At 48.3% G+C, this 7,313-nt stretch overlaps 1 long non-coding RNA gene across 1 annotated transcript, besides 4 other annotated features; it reads right to left on the bottom strand.

Annotated features, from left to right (window-relative positions):
• Positions 516-1,016: an enhancer, noted in NCBI's record as "H3K4me1 hESC enhancer chr11:12114457-12114957 (GRCh37/hg19 assembly coordinates)". NCBI's record gives its function as "activates a minimal SCP1, AML or CMV promoter by ChIP-STARR-seq in naive H9 embryonic stem cells {active_cell/tissue: H9 hESC(naive)}" and the evidence as "EXISTENCE:reporter gene assay evidence [ECO:0000049][PMID:30033119]".
• Positions 1,017-1,517: an enhancer, noted in NCBI's record as "H3K4me1 hESC enhancer chr11:12113956-12114456 (GRCh37/hg19 assembly coordinates)". NCBI's record gives its function as "activates a minimal SCP1, AML or CMV promoter by ChIP-STARR-seq in naive H9 embryonic stem cells {active_cell/tissue: H9 hESC(naive)}" and the evidence as "EXISTENCE:reporter gene assay evidence [ECO:0000049][PMID:30033119]".
• Positions 1,017-1,704: a biological region, named in NCBI's record as "Sharpr-MPRA regulatory region 886".
• Positions 1,410-1,704: a silencer, noted in NCBI's record as "tiled region #886; HepG2 Repressive non-DNase unmatched - State 8:EnhW". NCBI's record gives its function as "represses a minimal TATA promoter and a strong SV40 promoter by Sharpr-MPRA in HepG2 cells {active_cell/tissue: HepG2}" and the evidence as "EXISTENCE:reporter gene assay evidence [ECO:0000049][PMID:27701403]".
• Positions 4,485-7,055, bottom strand: LINC02989 (long intergenic non-protein coding RNA 2989). Its single transcript, NR_186297.1, has 2 exons — positions 6,806-7,055; positions 4,485-4,804 (listed from the first exon to the last, which is right to left on the bottom strand). It is a non-coding gene; the product is annotated as a long intergenic non-protein coding RNA 2989 (long non-coding RNA).
• Positions 7,056-7,313: the final 258 nt, after the last annotated feature.

Here is a 7,313-nt window from a genome sequence, read left to right as displayed (position 1 = left end):
ACCCCTCCTTTTCCCCTCCCAAGCCATAACCAGGCTACTGGGGGAATCCGGCAGACCAGGCACATGGGGGATTTTTTTTCCCTAATGTTTCATTTTCTTTCTTTCTTTTTTTTTTTTTTTTTTTGGAGATGAGGTCTCACTATGTTGCCCAGGCTAGTCTTGAACTCCTGACCTCAAGTGTTCCCCCAGCTTCAGCCTCCCAAAATGCTAGGATCACAGGCGTGAGCCACCATGCCCAGCCATGCTAATATTTCAAACATAAGGAAACAAAGTATGACACCGCAAACGCTCATGCGCCGGCCATCCAGCTTTCATGAATCTTCTCCGTTTGCCATATCTGCTTCAAATATTTTCTTCCTTTAAAGACATAAACATAGTTAATGCACACTCTGTGCCCCACAGGGATCCATTCCCTTTCTCTGGAATTTGGTGTTCATCATTCTAATGCGTGTTTTTACACATTTACTACAAAGGCGTATATTTCTAAACAATGTTTTATACTTTTAAAAATGTTTTTAAACATCTTACCTTCATGAAGACTCCTGTATGTGACATTACAATTTGATTTTCCTGTCAATGTTATCCAGATACATATGAGCGTCTTTCTGTTCCCTGTCTTCTGCTCCAATGTCTGTTTGTCTATTTGTGTGGTGATTCTTTAACATCAGTGCCTTAATAATGGATTTTAATAGCTGGCAGCTAAGTCTCCCCTCCTTGTTCAAAGTAATTTAAGCTATTCTCTGGCCTCTCTTCCATGTGAATTTTAGAATTAGCTTGTAAAGCTTTGGGAAATTCCTTACTGAAGTAGGCATTTCATTCAATGCATATATTACTTTGAGAGGAATCCTCATCTTTATGGTACCGCGTCTTCCCCTCCATGCACCTGGTAAGGCTCTCCAGCTAAGGAGACCTTTTGTGTGGGATGTGGCAGTGCACCCCAGGGCATCATTCCCAAGGCATCCCCAGCAGCAGAACAAAGAGCCTCTGAGAGACCTCTCACTGCGTGTGAGCAGAGCCCAGCCAGCAGGAACCAACTGCCAAAGTGAGGCCAACCCAGAGATGCCAAATAAGCTGAACGCACGATTTCTATCCCCTCCAAATTCCACTTGCAGCAGATACTGCTAATCCACCCTAGTGCTCTCTTCCTCCAAACCCAACGCCCTCAGCCTCCTTTCTCACATGGCACTTCAGGCAGCCCCTAAATAAGTCAGGCACACCAAGTGAAACCTCTGTGCACCCAGCCTAAATCTCACGAAGCAGACAGGCATTTTCTGGGACCCTATGACAACCCAACACTGGTGTCTCTGAGGGGACTTCATGGGCCTGCACGGAGCTCTGAGCCTACCCTGTTTCACAGGCACAAGTGCAGGCACATCAGATGCACACTCTCCTCACCATTTTAAAGATTGCTTCCCCAGGGAGAAACAACTGATTTCAGGCAAACCAATGAGCCGAAAAGGCTGAATGGAGAAATATTTTGCTGGGGGAACTGGTGTTGACTTTTCATTCCAGCCACCAGGCTACTCTGAGTTTTTCAATGTGCAGAAGGCCTTCACAGCTGGTGCCTGAATGCCTGGCGGTAGAAGCTATCTATGTCTCCTTCCACCTCTTTTTGGAAACAAATAATTACCATGTATTACAACAAAGATCACAACAGAGGTCTGTTTAGGGATCTCTGCCTTGCTCCCATCTGTACCTTTTGTCCCAGCACCCAGTAGACACTTACCATATCCTGATGCAGATTAGAGCTCAGCAATGTTTGATGAGTGTCACGTGTCAAGCCCTGGGTTAAAGGATACTTTGTCCTACTTTGTCTGCACCACGGTGGTGAGTAAAATCTCCATGTTGCAGATGAGAAACAAAGGCTCAGGGAAATAAAATGACTCCTCCAATCAGGGCTACTTAGCTAGTCAATGACAGGCTTGTGAGCCAAGATCTACCCACCTGTGATGGTGGAATCTAAGTTCAGTGCCACCTGCTCATTGCTGCCTGCTAAGGAAGGGAGGAGAAAAGGGAGGAAGGAAGGAAAGGAAGAGGAGACAGAGGGGCAGGGACAGATCATAGAAGGAAGAGAGGGAAAGGAGGAAGTTGAGAAAGAGGGGAAGGGAGAGAGGAGGGCGTGAGGGAAACTGGTGGTGGTGGAGGCTCCAAACCTGCCTTCCTCTTCTCTCTCCCGGAATCTGTGTCCTGGGGGAGGTTGTATGAATCTGGAAGCCCATTCCAGACTGATCTTGTATTTCCCTTGCAGTAAGAAGAGGAGGAAGAGGAGGAAGCTTAGGAATCCTCTCTGAAGGGGACATGGTTCTTGGAGGCCTGATTTGTATTGGGGAGAATCCTGAAACCAATCACTGAGGGAGCACTACCCTTTATGATGGGGATGGAAAAGCCACAGCAACCCTATGGCCTCTAGTTTTGGAGAGGGACTCAGCTAAAGACCAAAGGAAGCACCAGAAAGAAGAACTGAAGAGTTTAATTTGGTTAAACATAAATAAAAATAAAAACATCTCTAGAATATAGAAACTATCTCTAGAAGTCCGGGTGTTGTGGCTCACACCTGTAATCCCAGCATTTTGGGAGGCTAAGGCAGGTGGATGACCTGAGCTCAGGAATTTGAGACCAGCCTGGGCAATATGGCAAAACTTCGTCTCTGCCAAAAATACAAAAAATTAGCCGGGTGTGGTGGTATGCACCTGTTGTCACAGCTACTCGAGAGGCTGAAGTGGGAGAACTGCTTGAGCCTGGGAGGCAGAGGTTGTAGTGAGCCAAGATTGCACCACTGCACTCCAACCTGGGTGAAAAAAATAAAAGAAAAACTATCTCTAGGGGTGGAGCTCTGGGGAATGTTTTCTCTGTTCAAATGTTCTACCAAGCAGATGTATTACAGTGGATGTGATTGCCTTTAATTTGCTTGATTTGCTGGACATCGTTCAAAGGTCATCCCCAGGTATCAGTGGATGGATAGGAAGGAGAGTGTGTGCACTGAGGGTGTGGCTGTGGGCCCTGCAGGGGAGGCACCACAGGGAGGGGCTGGCACTCCTATGGGCTCAGACGCTCAGGTGAGTTGCCCATTACATAAGGTGCATTGCTAGGGCATTAGCTCAGCCAGGAAGGAACCACTCTGGACTTGTGACTTCACTTTCCCCCCTCCCTCTCTCCTGTTCCCACCCCCCACCCTGGCTCCTTCTTTTTTCTTTTTTTTTTTAGACGGAGTCTTACTCTGTTGCCTAGGCCGGAGTGCAGTGGCACGATCTCTGCTCACTGCAACCTCTGCCTCCACGGGGTCTCCTTCTGATAACTACTGAAGGAATTCTATGAGGCTATCTCTCCCCCAAGCTCTCTGGGGGAATGGGTTTAATTAAAAACCAGTCCAGTTTGCCCTCAGTAGGAAACAGGGCAGACAGGATGTTGGTGCAAAGCAAGCCAAAAACCTAGTCAGTATGGAAGGCATCTGCCTTCTTCCTGTCGTGACCCTCTGGGCTCAGCTCTGAGACCTGCCGGGACAGGAGTAGCGGGGGCCTAGGGCCCTCAGGGGGGTTAACATACTGGCTGCTGACCTGGCAGGGGCTCTCAGGCAGGTGGGCAGGGCTCTGACAGGAGGAGTCTCTGGCTTTTGCCAAAGATACTTGTTTTCAGGTGGGTAACAGCATCTGGCTTCTGAAGGAACTTCCTCTTTGAAGCAGGAAGTGGTTTTGGATTCAGGAATAGGGCGTGGTCTAAAAGGAAAAATGATAGGGGAAGTTGGCAAGACCATAGAATCCCAGCTGAATGGGGTTAAGGGGACTTCTTGCTCACTGGAAAACCTGGGGCAGAAGCTCAGTTACCCAGATTGGGCTGGGGAAAGGCTGGAGCTGAGAACAGAGGTGGAGGCCCAAGGCAGGGAGCCTTCTCAGGAACCTTGGGTCATAAACGCAGATCTTTTTCTTTTTAATTATTTTAAACATTTTTTAGTTTTACTTTAAGTTCCAGGATACATGTGCAGAATGTGCAGGTTTGCTACATAGGTAAACATGTGCCGTGGTGGTTTGCTACACCTATCAACCCATCACCTAGGTATTAAGCCCAGCATGCATTAGCTATTTGACCTGATGCTCTCCTTCCCCCTGCCCTGCCACAGGCCCCAGTGTGTGTTGTTCCCCTCCCTGTGTCCATGTGTTCCCATTGTTTGGCTTCCACTTATGAGTAAGAACATGCGATGATCACAGATCTTAACCCTTTCTCTCCCACTGCCCAGATGGGGTTCCCACTACCAGGCCAGGTCTAATTTCAGCAGCTCCTGGGCCTGGGTGAAGCTAAATAAGGCAGTTGAATATCTCTAGCTCCTGTGGGTAGGCCTGGCTGGGGAGAGCAGAAATTGATACCTTTAGTCTCTCTGTGTGAGTAATAAGGTGAGAATCTCAATTTGAACCTGTGAATAATCTAATTTTTTCCTCCACCGCACCTAGTACTGGCAAAGCACTCGGCTTGCATTGCCTGGATCCACTCTCTAATGAAATTAGACAATTATATTTCCTCATATCCATACTGAAGAATCCTTAGAAAAATGTAAAAGAGGAAACCAAGACGCAGCGAGGTGAAGGGTACAAGCTCATTCATACCAGGGCTTTCCCCTCTTCTCGTGGTCCTTGAGGCAGTGATCACTGGTCAGTCACTGCATTCTTTCCTGCTGACCCCAGAGCTGGCGACAAAGCTCAGAAGGGCCCTGCAGGCCTTTCCCCCAGCAGCTCAGTGTTTGCCATTCCCTGTGTGATGAAGTGGGTATGCAGGGAGGCTGGACAGAAAGCAGTGCTGCAAGGAAGATGGAGACCTGGAAAATAAAAATGTCTGTCTGTGTTACTCATTGCTTCAATAATGCTATGCAACTGTGGCAGATTGTATTTCCCAAAGATGGCCGCAACAATATCTCCCATCCTATCTTCTCTTTTGAAATGTGACCTTGCCATTTCCCTATCAAGATGTGACATCTATGTTTCCAAGGGTCGATGCTGTGATTGTTTTGACCAATAGAATAGAAAGAAAGTGATGCCGTGCCAGTGCTGCCACAACTCTTACCTGGCCTAGCAGCATCCTCTTCCTGCCTCGTGGAACCCAGCACCCCGGTGTGAAAAGCCCTTGCCCATGCAGAGGTCATGTGCAGTCAACAGCCCAGTTGAGTCCAGCATGAGAGCTGGCATCCAGTGCCAGCCACCTGGGTGAGCCATCCCAGGCACCCACTCAAGCTGAACCTTTCGGATACCTGCAGCCCTAGCCGACATCTGACTAATCATCTGAAAGCCCCCAGGTGGGAATTGCCCCACGGCGACTAGTCAATGCGTAGAACCTTGGGAGATTGTAATAAATGAGTATATAATACATTGTTTTAAATCACTAAGTTTTGGGGTGGTGTGTTACTCGACAATAAATACTAGAACAGAAATAGACTACCCCCAAAACGTATGCCTTAAAACAACATGTATTATTTCTCATGAGTCTAGTTGCTCATGCATCTCGGGTCCGCTGGCAGGTTGGCTGGAGGATGGCTGGCCTGGGGTGGCCTCTGCTGGGACAACTCGGCTCTGCTCTGTGTGATATTTCATTTCTCATAGGCTAGCCCCAGCTTGTTCTCATGGCAGCAGCAGGGGTTTAAGAGAGAGACAGTAGAAGACACAGGCTTCTTAAGACCTAAGCGTGGAGCTGGCACATTGTCACTTTCAATAAACACTGTTCAAAGCAAATTTCAAGGCCGGCCCATATTCAAAGGGTGGGGAAATGGATTCTGTCTCTTGATGGGAGGAGCTACACGGTCACATTGCAGAGGGTGTGGATTGAGGATGCAGAGGGTGTGGACTGGAAGGGATAGACGATTGTGGCTGTTTTTGCAATCAGTCTATCACAATAACTAATAAGGATATAAGAAGTTTGCTAGGAGCCGCGTATAGTGGCATGCCTCTGTCATCCCAGCTACTTGGGAGGCTGAGGCAGGAGGATTGCTTGAGCCTAGGAGTTTGAGGCTGCAGTGAGCCATGATCATGCCACTGCACTCCAGCCTAAGTGACAGGAGGATGCTGTCTTTAAAAAAAAAAAAAAAGAAGAAGAGGAGGAAGAAGTTAGCTGGGGAGTGTAAATTACAAGTTCCTCCTCTGTTTTCACTGACATCATTAGTTAGGCCTCCATTGCTCAGCATTACCTTTCACTGTTTTAGCTTTCCAGCCTCTATGGAGAAAGGAAAGACAGAAAGAAACCGTGAGGAGCTGTGTTTGGGTGGCCAGCCAAACTTGCCAAGTGCTCCAGTCCTGTGGCTTTCAACAGAGCTGGGCGACGCCCTGGTGCACTGTGGCAGTTTCTCAGGGCTACCACAAGGGAAATGGTTGAGTGTAAGTGTGAGAAACCCTGAGTCCCCACCTTAACCAGGGCAGTACTCTTCTTTCCTTGTGATTTCCTTTGGAGAAAGGTTATGCATCTTTAAAAAATAAAAATATTTCAAATCCAGTGAACTAGTCTAACCTCTCAATCTTACAGAAAAGGAACCAGTCTTAGTGAAATGGAGTGTTCTATTCTACATTACTCTGCCACTGAGTGTCTTGGCCGGTGTCAGACTCCAGGCTGCTGACGTGCCATCCTACCTGAGCTCATTCTTCTGCCTGACTCACCCCTCCCCTCACTGGGTTCAAGAGACAGCAGATTGCTGAAGCCCAGAGAACAGAAGAGAACTGAGGAACATCAGAAGGGATGTCCCTGACCTGTCACTGCTCCAATTCTCTACTTTCCCACCATGGTCCATAGTCCTTGAATCCTGAGCCTCAGCCACCACCCTTCCGCACATACACACCCTTACGTGATGATCCTGACAAGGCTTGGCCCCCAGAACCACAGACAATTCCAGGCATCATATTGGCAGGCAGGCTGAGCTGGCTGGTCAACCCCAGGGTGGAGCAGGGCACACTTGGGGGAGCTGATCCTGCAAGGGCAGATGGAGCTCCATCTGGGAGAAAAGCTCATTTCCCAAGAGAAAGCTTGGTCTTGTTTGGAGCCTGTGATCTCCTTGTTCTCCTCCCAGTTTGTTAATTCCATTTCTTCCCAAGTTCATTTTTTTAGGACATGGGCTATTTATAGCTCCCCCTAAGTCCTTTCCAGTCTGTTTCCTGTTCAAGTATACTGCATTAGTCACCAGAAAGTGTCTCAAGCAATCTCTGTGTCCCTGCCTGATCCCGGCCACAGGGAACACGGGGATGCTGGTCAGACTCAGGGTGGATCCCCTTGGAGAGATGGGAAGCAGGAGGCAGGAGGCTGGCTAAGGGGGCTCATGGGGGCAGAGGGAGCATCTCTTATTCCCCATC

This window comes from Homo sapiens, chromosome 11 (assembly GCF_000001405.40).
Source record: "Homo sapiens chromosome 11, GRCh38.p14 Primary Assembly".
NCBI classification, from domain to species: domain Eukaryota; kingdom Metazoa; phylum Chordata; class Mammalia; order Primates; family Hominidae; genus Homo; species Homo sapiens.
The sequence above is the reverse complement of the archived record's forward strand: the minus strand, read 5'-3'. Positions and strand labels throughout refer to the sequence as shown.